Source organism: Homo sapiens, chromosome 1 (genome assembly GCF_000001405.40).
Source record: "Homo sapiens chromosome 1, GRCh38.p14 Primary Assembly".
In the NCBI taxonomy this organism is placed as follows: Eukaryota; Metazoa; Chordata; class Mammalia; order Primates; family Hominidae; genus Homo; species Homo sapiens.
The window spans coordinates 203,167,491-203,184,587 of record NC_000001.11 but is presented as its reverse complement, the minus strand read 5'-3'; the positions used below and the strand labels follow the sequence as shown (position 1 = coordinate 203,184,587).

The 17,097-nt window shown below is 55.9% G+C and overlaps 2 protein-coding genes across 10 annotated transcripts in view, besides 3 other annotated features; both read left to right on the top strand.

Annotated features, from left to right (window-relative positions):
• CHI3L1 (chitinase 3 like 1) overlaps positions 1-5,657 on the top strand; it is a 7,774-nt gene extending 2,117 nt beyond the window's left edge. Inside the window, exons 4-10 of one of the 8 annotated variants that reach the window (NM_001276.4) lie at positions 1-12; positions 797-947; positions 1,736-1,857; positions 3,303-3,426; positions 3,936-4,118; positions 4,711-4,827; positions 5,003-5,657. The exon at positions 1-12 is cut by the window's left edge and continues 45 nt beyond it. In NM_001276.4, the coding sequence (NP_001267.2) occupies positions 1-12; positions 797-947; positions 1,736-1,857; positions 3,303-3,426; positions 3,936-4,118; positions 4,711-4,827; positions 5,003-5,143 (850 nt within the window). In that variant the 3' untranslated portion in view covers positions 5,144-5,657. Of the gene's footprint in view, positions 13-778; positions 948-1,735; positions 1,858-2,283; positions 3,427-3,935; positions 4,119-4,710 lie in introns of those variants that run through there. The other 7 variants (XM_047442840.1, XM_047442848.1, XM_047442847.1 and 4 more) reach the window with 7 other exon arrangements.
• MYBPH (myosin binding protein H) lies at positions 5,374-16,777 on the top strand. Of its 2 annotated transcripts, XM_047421205.1 has the most exons (12): positions 5,374-7,536; positions 8,822-9,037; positions 9,127-9,261; positions 9,991-10,158; positions 12,548-12,636; positions 13,010-13,205; positions 13,388-13,527; positions 14,138-14,297; positions 15,199-15,335; positions 15,496-15,682; positions 15,913-15,961; positions 16,497-16,777. In XM_047421205.1, the coding sequence occupies exons 1-11, from the start codon at positions 7,425-7,427 to the stop codon at positions 15,927-15,929; spliced, it is 1,557 nt and encodes a 518-aa protein (XP_047277161.1). In that variant the 5' UTR covers positions 5,374-7,424; the 3' UTR covers positions 15,930-15,961; positions 16,497-16,777. The 2 variants fall into 2 exon arrangements, with proteins under 2 accessions (XP_047277161.1, NP_004988.2); NM_004997.3 differs by lacking the exon at positions 5,374-7,536 and having other exon boundaries at positions 8,762-9,037.
• Positions 5,981-7,180: an enhancer, noted in NCBI's record as "CDK7 strongly-dependent group 2 enhancer chr1:203146536-203147735 (GRCh37/hg19 assembly coordinates)". NCBI's record gives its function as "activates an origin of replication core promoter dependent on BRD2, BRD4, P300/CBP, MED14 and CDK7 cofactors, with strong dependence on CDK7, by STARR-seq in HCT116 cells {active_cell/tissue: HCT116}" and the evidence as "EXISTENCE:reporter gene assay evidence [ECO:0000049][PMID:35650434]".
• Positions 10,098-10,627: an enhancer, noted in NCBI's record as "H3K4me1 hESC enhancer chr1:203143089-203143618 (GRCh37/hg19 assembly coordinates)". NCBI's record gives its function as "activates a minimal SCP1, AML or CMV promoter by ChIP-STARR-seq in primed H9 embryonic stem cells {active_cell/tissue: H9 hESC(primed)}" and the evidence as "EXISTENCE:reporter gene assay evidence [ECO:0000049][PMID:30033119]".
• Positions 13,840-14,840: an enhancer, noted in NCBI's record as "H3K4me1 hESC enhancer chr1:203138876-203139876 (GRCh37/hg19 assembly coordinates)". NCBI's record gives its function as "activates a minimal SCP1, AML or CMV promoter by ChIP-STARR-seq in primed H9 embryonic stem cells {active_cell/tissue: H9 hESC(primed)}" and the evidence as "EXISTENCE:reporter gene assay evidence [ECO:0000049][PMID:30033119]".

Sequence of the window (17,097 nt, the reverse complement as noted above, 5' to 3'; positions counted from 1 at the left end):
TGGGTCTCAAAGGTAGGAGCCTCTCCCCAGGGGCAGGACGGCAGAGGATGATGGCATAGGAGTGAGGAGCTTGGGTCTCCCGCATCCACTGTATGGATGTTCCAGGGGCTCCAGACTAGATAGGTACAAGGCCTACCTGTTTGTCAAGGGCCTGCCTGATGTGTAGCAAAGAAAGCAGAGCCCAGAGAGAGAGCAGGACTTGCCAAGAGTCACACAGCAAGTTAACAGTGGATCTCCCAATTCCCTGCCAATGCTCTATTTACTACCTCACAGGCCCGAAAATATGGGACTTCTGGGGCTACCACCATTAGGGCTGGAAAGAGAGAGATGGAAACCAATGGGGACATTGAGAAGTGGGGAGACCCTGGGAGGAGTCTTTGGATTAGGTGGGGTTGGAGCAGGGCTTGAAATGGGGGTGGTTATGGCCATCGTTGGCACCCATGTGCTGGGTACTCTTTCTGTGTCCAGCACCCTGTCTCCCCATGATCCCATGTTGTCCTCACAACAGCAAGGTGAGCTGTTATATTTGTCCCCATTTTACAGATGATGAAACTGAGACTCAGGTTATAACCTTTCACAGTGGCTGGCTAGTAAGTGATAGAGCCAGACTTGGAAACCTGGAATGCCTGGCTCTAAGGCACATGCATGCCTGGAGGCGACCCCTGTCCCAATCATGCCCTCCCAGAGCTGTGTGGCCTCAGGATCCCAGCTCTGCAGGTCCTGGAAACCCCACCAGAGGCCCAAGGCACCTAGCATATCAGTGCTGAGCATGCTACAGGGCTGATTTTGGTCCTAGATTTTCCAAGATAGCCTCCAACACCCAGAGTCGCCGGACTTTCATCAAGTCAGTACCGCCATTTCTGCGCACCCATGGCTTTGATGGGCTGGACCTTGCCTGGCTCTACCCTGGACGGAGAGACAAACAGCATTTTACCACCCTAATCAAGGTGCTGGTCAGGTCAGGGACAGGGAGGGAGGTGGGCAGGCATGAGGGAATGGGGTGGGCTAGAAGCCGGCGTCAGCTGCTGTCCTCCTGAGGACAGGTAAAGAGGGACTTCAGCCTCAGGGCAGTGTCCTGGGACCCTGTGCCCTGAAGATCTCACATAGCAAGGAAGGCTTCTTGTGACCATGGTGGGAGGTGGGAATGGGGTTCTAAGAGGTGGAAGGTTGTGACTGAGCAGAGCACCCACTTATAACTACCCACTTAGTGCATTGCCCATTGCCCACCCTTCAATCCCATACTGATGCCACCCATACCCAGCATGCACTGTGTCCAGCAGCTCTCAGCTCTGCCTGGGGGCAGCCTAAGTATCTCCAGTTACCAGGGGCAGAAGGAGAGTCTAAACAAATTGTTCACAATACCAGCAGCAATCACTTTAACTTTGGGATTTCATGCACCAGCTAGAACAAAGCACAGACCGAAAGGCAAATGTCTCCCAAAGTCATCTGTGGGCCAATAGGGGTCACCCACTGTCCGATGCTCCCTCCAGGACAGGGAGTAATTGAGTGCTGATGGGTGTGCATGGGTTTGGGGAGAAGATTAGTCAGTTTTTTAGGAAAAGGATGGGTGACTTGAGGATGGGACCACTGATGAGCCACTTTATCACTTCCACTAGGCCCCAGGCAGGTTGGGGAGTACAGCAAATGGGTTGCGCAGAGACCTAGTCCGCCCTCGATGAGTCTACCTCTCATGCCACTTGGGACCCTTTCTCTCACCTGCCTGTCTCCCATCTAGGAAATGAAGGCCGAATTTATAAAGGAAGCCCAGCCAGGGAAAAAGCAGCTCCTGCTCAGCGCAGCACTGTCTGCGGGGAAGGTCACCATTGACAGCAGCTATGACATTGCCAAGATATCCCAGTGAGTCTCCTGCCCCAGGCAGCCTCCCCAGAACCTCTGCCAACACTCCTGTTTCCCCGCCACCCCCAGCCCTAGCACTCCATGTAGACTGAGGACACTGGGCTTCCAGTCCCAGTTCTTCCAAAGCCTTGATGTGTGACCTTGAGCAAGTCACTTCCCTGCCCTGTGCCTCAGTTTCCCCATCTGTCAAATGAGGCATAACAATCCTTGCCTTTCCTTTTTCACCTGGGCTGTTGGCTGAGCAGTTGAGAGAGCTGCTATGAAAGTATTTTGGAAAGGGAAGTGGAAAAAGCTATTCAAACCCTCCAGCTATTGCAGAGTATTTTCTCCACACCAGGCAGAGCAGAGTGCTGGGCCCTGGAGAGGCCACACAGCAGCCTCTTTCTAGAGTGCTGGGGAGTCCTCAAGGCTCTCTCATACACACAGGCCTCCCCCTTTCCTGTTGGCCCCACGCCTCATCCTCACCCCACCCCTCATGCCTGTGAGGAACAAGGAACAGCCAAGCAGCCTCATCTCTCCTGAGAGCAGAGCCATGGGTCTCGGGAAACCCAGGAGTAAGGAACAAAGACTCTTCAAAATGACTTCAGAGCTTTCTTTAGGATCCCAGGGAGGTGTAAACTCAGTGCTTAATTAAATGGATTCTTTAGAGGGTGGGAAACAGGTGGATGTCAACCATTTGCCCCACATACCCGTATTCATGCAATCCACCCCCAGTGGGCTCACCGGTGCGGGTGTGCAAAACCTCCTCCCACCCCAGTCATCTTAGGTTCAGGTCATCCTTTGGTCCTGCTCTTTCCCCGCCAGGCTGTCTGTTGATGCTACTTTTAATCTGCTTTCACTAAGATAAGCCTGGCAGAAGTGGTGGGGGTAAGGTGGGCTGTAGGCCAGCTCCCAAATGTGTGCTGGGCATAACAGAAGACCCATTCTTGACTGAAGTGCCCTTGTGGGACCCTGAGCCCGTGCCCTGGAGTGGCACAGGGAGGTGTGCCAGCAATGGGGACCGAGGTCACTGGGGACTGCTGGGGTTCGGGCTAGTGGCCTGTCTGGCTGCTGTCTGCTTCCCTCGTTCACATCCTGCTGGAGCCTTAAATAGGAGCCCAAAAGCTTTTCTTTCTTACTTTTTTTTGAGACAAAATCTCACTCTGTTGCCCAGGCCGGAGTGCAGTGGCACAACCTCTGCCGCCTGGGTTCAAGCGATTCTCCTGCCTCAGCCTCCCGAGTAGCTGGGATTACAGGTGCCTGCCACCATGCCTGGCTAATTTTCGTAGTTAGAGTAGAGACGGGGTTTCACCATCTTGGCCAGGCTGGTCTTGAACTCCTCACCTCATGATCCACCTGCCTCGGCCTCCCAAAGTGCTGGGATTCCAGGTATGAGCCACCACGCCCGGCCTAAAGCTTTTCTATTAATAATTTCCTGCCTCACCCTCCATCCCCTTCCTCCTCAGACACCTGGATTTCATTAGCATCATGACCTACGATTTTCATGGAGCCTGGCGTGGGACCACAGGCCATCACAGTCCCCTGTTCCGAGGTCAGGAGGATGCAAGTCCTGACAGATTCAGCAACACTGTGAGTTCCCAGAAGGAGGGAGGGCCAGGAGGGGGCCGCAAGACCTGCCATCTGCCAGTGCTCACACACCAATCTCTCTAGCCCTCAGTACAGTCCTGCAAGAGGGGGGTCATGAGGCCCATTCCACAGATAAGGAAACTGAGGCCCAAAGTCTGGGCATGCTGCGTTGCTCTGGGAAGGTGATCTGCAGGGTAAATGGAGTGAGGGCAGGGGGCCGAATGGGGAGAGGCTGGGAGCCGAGGAGGTAGGAGTCATTGTGCCCTCAGAGCCAACCACCTGATTTCTGCATCTGTCAAATAGTAATAGCCCCTTCCTATGCCTCAAAGGATTTTTTTCAAGAATGAAACTGTAAAATTCACTTTAAAGTGACATGATCCGTTCCCGGAGGGACAGGGGAATCCCCAGTGCACCATACACCAATAACCCCTGCTAAGGCAGCAGTATTAATTGCTCAACCTTCCGCACCTGTGCACTAACTGCTCACGTTGTTCCCACCCTACCCCACCCAGGACTATGCTGTGGGGTACATGTTGAGGCTGGGGGCTCCTGCCAGTAAGCTGGTGATGGGCATCCCCACCTTCGGGAGGAGCTTCACTCTGGCTTCTTCTGAGACTGGTGTTGGAGCCCCAATCTCAGGACCGGGAATTCCAGGCCGGTTCACCAAGGAGGCAGGGACCCTTGCCTACTATGAGGTAATGGAGTTGGGGAGAAGGTAGGATTCCCCCACACCACCAGCAGCCCTGGGGAAGGTGATTCCCCACCACGTTCTTGCTTTTTCTCCTTTGGGAATAAAGAAAATGTCCGGTTGCCCCAGCATGCCTGAGGAAGTGGAAGGGAGAGGTTAGGACATTTGTTGCTGAAAATCTCCAGCAGGTACAGGCACATGGGCCTGCACCACTAGGCACCTGGGATAGCCCTCTGGCTATGGGGCTGAGGTCTTCCTTCCAGCCCAGGAAAGAGCAGAGGTCAAGAGGCAGATTTTTTGTTTCACTCTAGCCTCTGCTACTCTGTGTGGCCTTGGGCCTGTCCTCAGTGTCAACCAGCAGGCCTCACATCTCTGTTTAAATGGAAGAAGCTAAGCAGGGCCAAGGCAGCCACCATCTCTGGGTCATTTGCCTCTGGTTTGTATAAACTTGTGTGATGCATGCAGCCTGCAGACCCTGCAGAGAGTGAGGCTGCAGGATGGAGCAGGAGCTAAAAGAGATTTGGAGAGTGGCGTCTCCTGGTGACCTGCAAGGTCTCGGCACGACTCCCCACACTGCCTTTTCCCTGTTATCTGCTCAGATCTGTGACTTCCTCCGCGGAGCCACAGTCCATAGAATCCTCGGCCAGCAGGTCCCCTATGCCACCAAGGGCAACCAGTGGGTAGGATACGACGACCAGGAAAGCGTCAAAAGCAAGGTAGGTTTCCCCAAGGCCACACCTCAGGACAAAGAGAAAGAAGGAGGCCCCGCTCCCAGCAGCCAGATTCCTGTCCCTTGCACTGAGGTCTGGGCTGGGCTCACAGAGCACATGTGCCCTGTACACACTCTGGGTCAGGGAACCCAGCCCTGCTCCTCTGGGCCTCCCCTGCCAGGTGCAGTACCTGAAGGACAGGCAGCTGGCGGGCGCCATGGTATGGGCCCTGGACCTGGATGACTTCCAGGGCTCCTTCTGTGGCCAGGATCTGCGCTTCCCTCTCACCAATGCCATCAAGGATGCACTCGCTGCAACGTAGCCCTCTGTTCTGCACACAGCACGGGGGCCAAGGATGCCCCGTCCCCCTCTGGCTCCAGCTGGCCGGGAGCCTGATCACCTGCCCTGCTGAGTCCCAGGCTGAGCCTCAGTCTCCCTCCCTTGGGGCCTATGCAGAGGTCCACAACACACAGATTTGAGCTCAGCCCTGGTGGGCAGAGAGGTAGGGATGGGGCTGTGGGGATAGTGAGGCATCGCAATGTAAGACTCGGGATTAGTACACACTTGTTGATTAATGGAAATGTTTACAGATCCCCAAGCCTGGCAAGGGAATTTCTTCAACTCCCTGCCCCCCAGCCCTCCTTATCAAAGGACACCATTTTGGCAAGCTCTATCACCAAGGAGCCAAACATCCTACAAGACACAGTGACCATACTAATTATACCCCCTGCAAAGCCCAGCTTGAAACCTTCACTTAGGAACGTAATCGTGTCCCCTATCCTACTTCCCCTTCCTAATTCCACAGCTGCTCAATAAAGTACAAGAGCTTAACAGTGTGTTGGCGCTTTGCTTTGGTCTATCTTTGAGCGCCCACTAGACCCACTGGACTCACCTCCCCCATCTCTTCTGGGTTCCTTCCTCTGAGCCTTGGGACCCCTGAGCTTGCAGAGATGAGGCCGCCATGTCCTCTGCCTAGCCGCAGAGAGCCCCAGTGGGAGGCCAGCGTCCTCAGATTCACCTGCCTTGGACTTAACCCAAGCATGGCTGATGGCCTTCCAAATATTAAAGTCATTGCCATCCAGATTTCTAAATTAAATTCCCTGTTGAAAGAAACGTTTTCTGTTTCCTGAAGGCTAGCAGGCCCTGGGAAAGAAGGCTTTTCATCCCAACACTCCCTCTCTTCTGATCCACAGGAAGGTGGTGGGAGCTCATCACAGGACCAGGTTAGAAAGCCCTGAACCCTGGACCCTCAGGGCCAGCAGGAAATGCAGATGTCATCTCATGCACCCTTCCTGCCTCTCGGGACTGGAGTCCCTGCAGAGTGCTTGAGAGATGGCCCTCCAGCCTCCCAGTGAGGGGCAGCCGATTACCTTGGAAGCAACCCATTCCGTGGCTGGGCTGAAATCTGTCAATAGTCCTAGTGCTGGGCTTAGCCCTTTGTTCTGTTCACCCCTCCCCTAACACTCATCCCTCCACCCATTCAGAGATCAAAGTACCTCTGCTCAAGCTGGCCTGAGATAGGAGGTCGGGAGGATGTGATGGGGTGACTCAGAAGAATAGACAGATTTTCAGCCTTTATGAGGTGGAGACGCTCTCATCAGGCTTCTGTTGAATTCCCAGGGCCCCAGGAATGCCTTTATCCAAAAAGGCTCCAGATACTCACCCCAGAACTAAAGAGAATTGATTTGTGGATTCTCTGATGTTTGGATTATCTGTGACTTAGGATAATCACAAATTGGCCTGATGGTTTGTGACGCCGGTTTGAAGTGGAGGGAAGGAGGAAATATCTGAAATCTGAACCAGCTGGAGCTGGGCAGATGCTACTGATCCCAAGGTCACAGCCCTGCTGAAGGCGAAGAAAACAAGGACTCGGCAAGGCGTGGAGTGGGGTGTGGGGAGGGGGTACCCGGCATTTCACCTCTGGCTGGTGGGGCCAAGTATTCCCTAATCCCTGCCACTGCCCACCCCACCACACAGGCATCTTTGAAACCCCAGGGCTGCAAGCCCTTGTGGGCAGCCAACTGCCCTCCCCTGGGGCCACCCTTCCCCCAGCCGGGGACAGGCTCTCCAGGGCTGACTCAGTGTCCTGTGGGGTTAGTCACATTCACTTATAGCTGCAGAGTCAGAGGCCAAGGATGGAGATCCAGTCTCCAGGACCCACTCCCTGCCTGGCAAGACGTGGAGTCACCTAGCAGAGGGCGAGGGCATCCAGGGAGGGCCAGATCCAGAGGCTCCCAGGCCCTGCACTGCCACTCCCCAGCAGAGACAGCAGGGTTGAGAGGCAGCCACACCCTGGTGTCCCCAGTCCTCAGGAAAGGGAAGAGCATGCATGCTGCTGAGGGCCCTGAATAAATCACTTTTACTTATTTTTAAATTGTGAGCACATCTTACGTGCTAAAGAGTGCATAAATGTATTTGTTTAATTTGAAGAATAACTATGTAGTAAGAACCTGTGTAACCACCACCCAGGTCAGGAAAGGAAACCTCATTAGCACCCCTGCAGCCCTCACGATCACAGATATCCCTGTTCCTCCACCTAGAGGCAATCGCCATCCTAACTTTTGTACTGGCCTCATCTTCCTTTCTGGCCTTACCGCCTACGGATGTACCTTGAAGAAGGGAGCCTGGTGTTGACTGCATTTGGATTTAATGTAGATGAGACAGATGAGACGCAACATTTCTGTGTGCCTTGCTCTTCTGCTCATCACTGGGTCTGTGAGTAGCTGAAGTTGCTCATTTGACCCCATATTTTGCTTTACAGTTGCATAAACACTCCACAGTTATTTATCCATCCCACTGTTGAGGGACAGCTGTTTTCCCCCACATTTCAACAATTACAAATAACATTGCCATGAACCTTCTTCTCCATGTCTCCTGGGGCATGTGTGGGTGTTATATGAGCGGCACGGCTGGGTCACGGAGTAGGCACCTCATCCATTTTACTAGGCACTAGTAAAACTCTCACATTTTCCAGAGTGACTGCTCCAATACCAGCAATAAAAGTTCTTAATGTTCTCCCTCCTTCCTGACACATGGCATTTTCTGGCTTTCCAGTGATTCCCAGTCTTAACATTTTATCGAACAAATGAATCAATGACTAGAAATCTGGCCATATCTGCCTCCTTTGGCACACTGAGAAAGCCCATGCCCACAGCCTGCTTGGAAGAGTCTAGAAGCTTCAGAGTGCTCTCCTCCACTAGGGCATCTTCCAGATCTGCCTACAACTGCAACCCATCCCGAAGGGCGAGGGGTTCTCTGTAACAGGTGGAAAACTGAGGCCCACAGCAGGCATCAGGGGAGACGAGCTCCTTACCAGCCGCCCAACTGAGACAGGAGCCAGGAGACTTAGTGCCCCTTCCTGGGGTTCCAATGCTGGAGGACCATCCTCTGAGCAGCTCCACCCTCAGCATCTCAATTCCCTCCCTCTCTAGGGCCCTCAGCCTCATACAGCACAGGCGAGAGTCCCTGGGAACTGTGGGAGCCCAGGGAATGTGGACCCCAGAGGCAAAGCTGGGAGTGCTCACAAGGACGATTGTCCCAAACTGTCAGGGCCCCAGCACCCAGTCTGAGAAGCTCTGGGAACAAGTGGCCCCATAGACGCCAGACACACAGAGCCTGAGCTGGGCTCATTCTCCAGATAGAAGTTCTTCCTCCTATTGCCCTGACACCTGGCACGCGGCCTGCTCGATGTCCCATCTCACCCATCTGCGCCCTCCCCCAGCTGGGCACCAGCACCCTGGCTGTTGAAGGCCAGTCGGGGAGATGGATGAGGAAGTGACTCCTCAAGGGGCCCTTGTGGTTCCTCCCCCAGAGCTATTCCTGGCCTGGGCGCCTCTCCACCCTCCAGTCCTCCTGCTTGACCTGACCCCACAGCTGGGAATCGTTTGCTGGGGGTGGGGCAGCCCCTGACTATATAAGCCTGGACCTAGGTGTCCCAGGCACCCTAGAGGCCCAGGCCCCCCAACGGCTGACCCCTGCACACTCCACCCTGGCCCCCCAGCCAGTCCAGCAATGATGGAAAAAAACACCTCCGAGGGCCCTGCCTGCAGTCCAGAGGAGACCGCATCTGAATCTGCCAAGGTGCCCACAGCAGAGCCTCCCGGAGAAGTGGCAGTATCAGAGTCCACCAGAGAAGAGCAGGTGCCCAAGCCGCAGGCCCCTGCCCCACAGGCCCCTACAGCCTCCACAGCCACTAAGCCTGCACCCCCAAGTGAAGGTGACTGAAGGTGGGGCAGGGGGAGGAGGGAGGCAGGCATGTCAGGGGTGGAGGGGAGCTCTTGGCCATGAACCTCTTCATCTCCCCAGATGTCCCCAGTGCCCCACTGCTGCTGACCCTGGATGATGTGAGCAGCAGCTCTGTGACTGTGAGCTGGGAGCCCCCAGAGAGGCTGGGGAGGCTGGGCCTCCAGGGCTATGTGCTGGAGCTCTGCAGAGAGGGAGGTGAGTGCTGGGCTAAGTCTTGCATACACCCAGGGGAGGTTGTCATGGAGGGCTGCAGGGACAAGTGCACAGGCCCTGTGGTTGGTCAGTCTGGGAGAGATACAGAAGGAGGGGATGCGAGCAGTAGGCTCCTCAACCCACCCACCTGCCCTTTCTTGCTCCACCAGCAGGAGAGCAAGAAAGGGTAGGTGGGTGGGTTGAGGGGCTCCCTTGTCCTCAGCTCCAAGGAGCTTCTGAGTAAGGGAAGGGTAAGGGGACACTGGGTTCTCCTTTGGTGAGAAGGGAAGGAAGTGCTAAGTCTCAGAGGACCCCGAACTGTAGGAAGTGGAAAGGGAGGAGCTGGAGAGGGGAATGTTAGCGTAAGAGACAGTGAGGAGAAAGCGGGAATGGGGTGGGGGTGTGGGGGCCACATCCCTGCTGCCACTGTCCCCCTCCATGGCCCAAGTCCAGCCTGGCCTCTGCCTCTGCCCCTACCTTGCTGTGTGACTTTGCAAATGTGTCCAACCCTCTCTGGGCTTCAACAACCTCATCTCTAGCCACAATTTCAGGGCTCTAACATCAGGTGTCTTTGATGCCATTTGACAAGAAGTCAGGGAAGGCAAACAAGGGGAAAATGAGGCCCAGAGAGGGAGGCTGATTTCCCCAGATCACCAGCAGGAAAAGAAGCCCCATGGAGAGGGGCGCCTGTGGCCACATTGCAAAGACCTCACACTCTCTCCATCCCCTCAGCCTCGGAGTGGGTGCCTGTGAGTGCCCGGCCCATGATGGTGACCCAGCAGACTGTGCGGAACCTGGCTCTGGGAGACAAGTTCCTCCTGCGCGTGTCTGCAGTGAGTTCTGCAGGGGCTGGCCCGCCGGCCATGCTGGACCAGCCCATCCACATCCGAGAGAACATTGGTAAAGCCCATCCTGGCCTTCAGCTACCCAGCCCTTCCCAAACACCTTATCTAATGGAGAAACTGAGGCCAGCAGGTAGAGGGAACCAGGCAGTCATTTCCCCCGTCCCACGCTCACATGCACAAGCCACACGCTATCACCATCTTGCCTTAAGAAAGTTCCAGGTTCCTCAGCAGTAAGGGGCCTCTGGAGGTCTAAGAAGCCATTTCCCTGAGTGGTCCAGCCCCCACGCCTTGAGAAAGGGGCTCAGAAACAAAAGGTCAAGTTCCCTGGGTCACCTGCTCAATGCTAAGAGTCCATCTGTTCTATCTCCCATCTAATCTCAATCTCTCCAGTGGCCATAAATGCTCATTTTCTGCCCATTTCCTGTGGCCTGGGTTCCAGATTCTCTCAAAGGTCTTGAAACAGAGAGAAGGCGCTGCTTGCCCCTTGTTCCACCATGGCCCTAGTGGAAAGAAAAAGAAGGTCTGCAAAAGGCCCATGAAGACTTCTCCATTGCAGAGGGCATACCTCACTGGGGCCCCGCAGGCCAGCTGCCATCCCCATTGCTAATATTTCTATTTGCAAGGTGCATTAGCCTCAATCCTCCCCTCGCTCCCCTCCCGGAGCTGATCGGGTTTCAGTCTGTTAATGACAGTGAGTCATTTGGTCTGATCTGAGGTCTCTGGGGACAGCACAGTCCCCCAGGGTGAGGAGAGACACAGGCAGGCAGGTGGCCTGAAGCCTTCTCCACCTTCCTTCTTGCTCCTCCACTAGGGGATGGATGATTTCTGGTAGCTCTAGACAAGGCCTCCAGAAGGAGAGGGGATCCACAGGAGGGGTCAAGTCTGGATTCGAAAGGAAATGCTCAGCTCTGAGGCCTGAGAGACATGGGAACCATGGGGTTAGGGAGCTTAGATTCATAGATTATCAAGGCCCAAGGAGATCCCAAGGAGCCCAGGGCATCCCTTGAGGTCACCCAGCCTTTTATTGGCAGTCCCAGAGTCTGATGCCTACACAGGACCACTCATGTCCCACTGCACTGCAGAGCATCTTCTCTGGTGGCACCCAAAACCCAAGCCTCCCAACCCTAATTCCCAGCCTTTGGCTCTAGGTGAGATGTGGCCCCACCAGGCAGCTGCATTATGGCTGTGTCGACCCTAGTCCTGGAGGTGCCAGGAAGGCTTCTTGGTTGGGACGGTGCTGGGCCTTCCCCAGGGAACCAGGGAGCTCAGACTCTGAGAGGCCCCTGAGGCCCAGCATTGATGGACCCAGCCAGACTCAGCACCCACTTCTCCATTCAAATTCCTCTGGCAGGAGAGAAGGGGATTTCCTGGAGAGAAGAGGGAGAGGAGGCTGTGAACAAGTGGGGAACAGCCAGGCTTATCACAGGGCAGAGTGGGGGCCCTGTCCAGGATCCTTGGCTGCTCAGCTGTCTCTCCTTGGCCACCTGGAGCTGCCAAGCATTCTTGACCCCCTGCAGCTGTCCCTAGAGCATTCCATGCCTGAGCTCCCAGAGCCAAGTGCCCACTCAGCTAATCCTCAGAGACACCGTGTTCCTTCTCACTGTCTTGTCCTCCTCCGCCCTGCATGCCACCAACCAACTGCTGCCACCTGTTTGCTGCTGAGGAGCCTCAGTCATGGACCCAGCACCCACCCCAGGGGACAGGGATGGTGGCCACTGCAGCTTCCCTTAGAATGCCCAGGGGCTTCAGTGGTTGCCCCTGACCAGATGAGGGTCAGAATGTCATTCCTTAGCATAGCAGGCAGCTGAAATAGGACTTCAAGAAGGACTTCCCGGCTCTGAGACTAACAGATTTTGGGAGGGTGACAGAGGAAGAAGGGGGGATACCCGCCCTGGCTTCACTTGGGAAGAGAAAGATCCTAAACCTTTCAATAGGGCCTGGAGACAGAGGAATGGACAAACAGGGTTTCACAAAGGCTTCTCTGAAAGTCCTGGGCTTGTGGAGAGCTGGGGATATTAGAGCAGGAAGACGGCAGTGGCCTCCCCTTCCTAGAAGTGCAGCCTGACAGGTGCAGCACCTGCTCCCCAGCAGGGGGAGACAGAGAGTCAGCTGGGGCCCATCTGGTGCTTGGGAATGCCTGGGCTGCAGGACAAATCCCATCCTGGCAGAGTCGAGGCGCCAAGGGAGTGCCCAGGATGCTTACCAGTTCACACCATGGAGGCGCTGACCTCCTGAAACCTCCTGCTCCCTTAAGGGATTTGGGCCCCTAGACCTCAGGAGTGAGAGCTTCACCCTTCCTGCAAGGAGGGACCCCATGGCAGCCAGGCACACCCAGGACCCTCCTCCCAGCCAGCATCCCTCACCAGCTGTCCCCTGCCCCATCTCAGAAACCCCAATCAGCCACCCCACTGCACTGCTAAGCCCAGACTCTTGCTTTGATCCAGAGGCCCCCAAGATCCGTGTCCCCCGCCACCTCCGTCAGACCTACATCCGCCAGGTGGGAGAGACGGTCAACCTGCAAATCCCCTTCCAGGTGGGTATTACCCCCACCAAGGGTAACAGCCTGGGTGGGAACCAGGGCCCCCATTTAAGGGGAGCCTGGGAGATGGCAGGGTCTCCAAGGGTCCAGCTGAGACCCAGCGAGACGGCTTCATCCTTCCGCAATCATGCACATGACTCATTGGTGATTCTCAGCCTGTGGATGGGCAGGTGGGCCCCCAGAGCGGGATGGACACCTGGAAGATGTGGCTGTGGGCAGCACCTGTGGCTCCAGCCTCTGCTGCCCCTCCTGAGAAGGGCCAGTGGGACAGGCTTCCCCGAGAACAGCTCCAGAGACTCCTGGAGTTAAGGAGGTGTGGGGACTCTGGCACCTCCCTACACTCACCCTGGGGGCTCCTCCCTGCCAGGGGAAGCCTAAGCCTCAGGCCACATGGACCCACAACGGCCATGCCCTGGACAGCCAGCGGGTGAGCATGCGCACCGGGGACCAGGACTCCATCCTCTTCATTCGCTCGGCCCAGCGCTCCGACTCTGGCCGCTACGAGCTCACTGTGCGCGTGGAAGACCTGGAGGCCAAGGCAGTCATTGACATCCTGGTGATTGGTATGGAGCCAGGGGAACAGTGCTGTCTCATGGGGGACCTGGAGCCCCCAACCTCCTATCCCAGAGCTGATGGCTGATGGGAGCAGGCCAAGGGAGTGTGGCAAGAGCCAAATTTTGGGTGTGGGGGCTCTGTGGCCAGCCTGGCCCTCACACTCACTTCCTCTCACACTCTGGGCCTACAGAGAAACCTGGACCCCCCAGCAGCATCAGGCTCCTGGACGTCTGGGGCTGCAATGCTGCTCTTCAGTGGACGCCACCCCAGGACACAGGCAACACAGAGCTCCTGGGCTACATGGTGCAGAAGGCAGACAAAAAGACAGGGGTGAGGCTGGCTGAGGCAAAGTGGGGTCGGGGTACGAAGTGGTCAAGGTGGTGGGGAAGGCCCATCCCACTGAGTCTAGGGACCGAGTCTAGGGATCGAGTTCTGGTCTGCCCACTGCTAACCTGACTCCCTAGGAGGCCCTTAGCAAGACTCTTCCTCTCTGGACCTCAGATGCCTCCTGAAGACTGTGAAGAGGGCTGGCCCGGGCTGTCTGAAGCCTTTCAAGTTCTGGAGCCATGCTTCTCAAATCTTAATGTCCACATGAGTCACCTGGGGAGCTTGCTAAGAGGCAGAGTCTGACTCAGTAGGTCCAGGGTGGGGGCTGAGGGCCTGCATTTCTAAGACGTTTCCAGGTGATGCTGAAGTTGCACATCCATGGGCCACACTTTGCACACAAAGGCTCTAGGATTCTCTGAGGACCCTACAGAGGTCACCTGAGTGACCCAGGGGCCCCTTCTTCCAATTCAATGTCCCTGAGGCCCAAAGCTGGATGGTTCAGCATCCTAAGGTTGGGGGCATGGAATGAGTTCCTGTGAGGAAAGGTCTCCAGGGTAAGCAGGGAGGGTGAGGACAGGGGTGAGAAATGAGGGTGACACCCGGGGCCCTGCAGCAATGGTTCACAGTGCTGGAGCGCTACCACCCAACCACCTGCACCATCTCTGACCTCATCATCGGCAACTCGTACTCCTTCCGGGTCTTCTCAGAAAACCTGTGTGGACTCAGCACCTCGGCCACCGTCACCAAGGAGCTCGCCCACATCCAGAAGGCAGGTGGGTTTGGGCCCGGAGCTGGCTGTGCTAACTCTCTCCCTGTCTCTGCTTCTTCCTCCGCGTCTCTGCACCCCTCTCTCTGGGTTTCTCCTGGGCGTCTGCCCCTGGAACACTTGCCGTCTCCTCACTCCACGGCTATGCATACACACACATGGAGTGGCTGCAAAGTAGTGAATGTGGTTGGCTGATTTTAACAAACACATCAGAGCAAATCCACACAAATGAAAGATGCCCCTTTGGAGGCTGTGTGCTTATTCCAAAGAGGTGTGTGGCTGCCAGCATCACAGCAGCCGCCGAGTCTCAGGCAGTGAGTGTCCGAAGGGAACCTAAAGGGTGACCTGCGCATGGCTGGGTAGTGTGCTAAAACAAGCCTCCCAACCCTAATACATACCACATAGATGGACAAGAGAGATAGGAGTATTTACTGTCTCCACACAGGCACCTGACCTTCTTGCGTCAAATGTTAAACCCCGGGCCCTTTTCCCTGTCCCTTGTGTGCCCCAAGGCCCTCTCCGACCCACAGTCTGTGTGGGTTCCAGAAGGCAAACTTTTTTTAACACTAGCCTGAACTGCACAGAATTAGGAAGAAACTTTTGTTTAAAAAAAGAAAGCCAGTCAAGTCTCCAACGACAAACCCAAAGGAAACGTGGCACCTCTGAGTTGCTAGCATCCATCTTCTGCCAAGATGCTCTTATCTCTGGTTTTTCCACCTTCTCATCTCTACTCATCACCCTGACCCACCCAGCTACAGTCTCAGCTTTCTCTGCCTCTTTGAGATTGTCCAAGTTCCTGCAAATAAGCCACGACTTGCTATCCATAGATCTTGAATCATAGTCAGTCCTGACAGGTCTCCCTCACTCCTGTAAGCTCAGATGCACCCGACTTTCTCCCCTGAACCCAGATATTGCTGCCAAACCTAAAGGGTTTATTGAGCGAGACTTCTCAGAAGCCCCCTCATTCACCCAGCCCCTGGCTGACCACACCTCCACCCCTGGCTACAGCACCCAGTTGTTCTGCAGTGTCCGAGCTTCACCCAAGGTGAGGGGCCAGGCCCTGTTGTGCCCTGGGCTGGTGGGGGCAGGTGGGGACAGCAGGGCTGAGGAATCCTCCGGGCGTCCACACCTAAGCCTGGGGATAGCTGTTGAGAGCCCCGCCCCAGTCCATACCTCCCCAGCTCTCTTCTGACCATGTCTCCCAGCCCAAGATCATCTGGATGAAAAACAAGATGGAGATCCAGGGCAACCCCAAATACCGCGCCCTCTCTGAGCAAGGCGTCTGCACCCTAGAGATCCGGAAACCCAGCCCCTTTGATTCTGGGGTCTACACCTGCAAGGCCATAAATGTGCTGGGGGAGGCATCTGTGGACTGCCGGCTGGAGGTCAAAGGTGAGAGTTTGAGGACGGGAGAACAGGAGTAAGCACCTCTCTGGAACTGGACTAGAGGCAGCAGACAGCTTAAAATCAAGGCCGAAGAGAAGGGGTGGTAAGACTGGGGTCAGGCTGTGCTGATTACTTTCCAAGCGGCAGGGTGGACAGGTGTAGAAGAGGGTGTATAACCGTGAACTTTCCAGTTCCCCGCCACTTCCCCCAAGCTCTAACTGCAGCATCTCTTCCAGCCTCAGCCGCACACTGAAGTCACGGGAGGAGGCTGTGATGAGGAGCCAGGTAAATGGCCTGACCCACCCACTCTGTTACCTCTGTGGGCAGCACAGAAGCAGAGAGGAGGCCAGGAGCAGGGGGTTGGGGTGAGAAGGGAAGGTGGTGGTCAGCTCTGTGGACACAAACTTGTGGACACAGGCAACTAGCACGCATGTCCAGAGACTCACAGTGATGTTGCAGGGCCAGGCGATGCCGGTGTCTCCTGGAAGGGGGGTGATTCCGTGGACCGCCACACAACCAGAGTCTACTCCCAGCTCTGAGTGATCTTCAGCAAGGGTGTTCTCTTTGGACACATTCTCTCATCCGAAAACTGGGGATAACAACCTTTCCCTGCCTTCCTTCCCCTGGTGGTTCTGAGGCTCTGCATAAGTACGGAAGTATCTAGAACTGCAGTGGGCAGAGCTCAGACCTGGGCATTGCACCTGAGGGAGGGAGGCCTGGTGAGGAAGAGGATGCTGCTCCCCCTCCCCACTCTGCACCTCTCTGGCCTGCAGCCGAGCTCTGCTCACACCAGGGGCTCAGGAAGCATGTCCTCCTCCAGGTGCTGCAGGCCTGAGGGGCCAGGTCCACCAGGCCTACAGTCAAACTCCAGAGATGCCCAAGACCCCCGCTTCCATAGCGACGGCTGATGGAACCGCCCCTGGTACCTGCTGGCCTCCCTTCCCCAGAGGCTGGTGTCCAGAACTCAGGAATGGGCCTGGTAGGCCCCAGGCCAGACTAACTGGGCTCAAGGGGTGCTGGAAGGCGCAGAGATTGGAGTGCCCTGCGGAGTTGCACTCTGGGTGGGAAGCACTCAAATAAAGATGCGTGGTGTTAACAGTGCGGGGCCTCTGTGCCAGTGAGCGACATCATCTGGGGGAGGCGCTGTGTCACGAGGAGGGGGGGTGTCTGAATGTTTCACCATGAGGGGGTCTCCAGATATGTCACCAAGAGGAAGATGCCAATGGGAGAGGTCTCAGGATGTCATGGCTGGGGCAGGGAGGTGGGGGGATGGGGGGTGTTCTGGACCTGTGAGTTTTCAGGATCTCCCTTTCTGATCAGGGTTTGCTACCGCCAGTGCGTAACTATGGAAACAGACACACCCTCTCTGGAACCCTCCTTGCTCCAACGCCTCCACGTGCCCCCTCTCGCAGCTCCTCCCA

Bases quoted from the DNA above. Each gene is read 5' to 3' on its own strand.
- MYBPH (XM_047421205.1), top strand. From the start codon at position 7,425: ATGTACCTTGAAGAAGGGAGCCTGGTGTTGACTGCATTTGGATTTAAT. The intron at 9,262-9,990 runs GTGAGTGCTGGG...CCATCCCCTCAG, and splicing joins GGAGCTCTGCAGAGAGGGAG to CCTCGGAGTGGGTGCCTGTG. The intron at 13,206-13,387 runs GTATGGAGCCAG...CTGGGCCTACAG, and splicing joins CATTGACATCCTGGTGATTG to AGAAACCTGGACCCCCCAGC.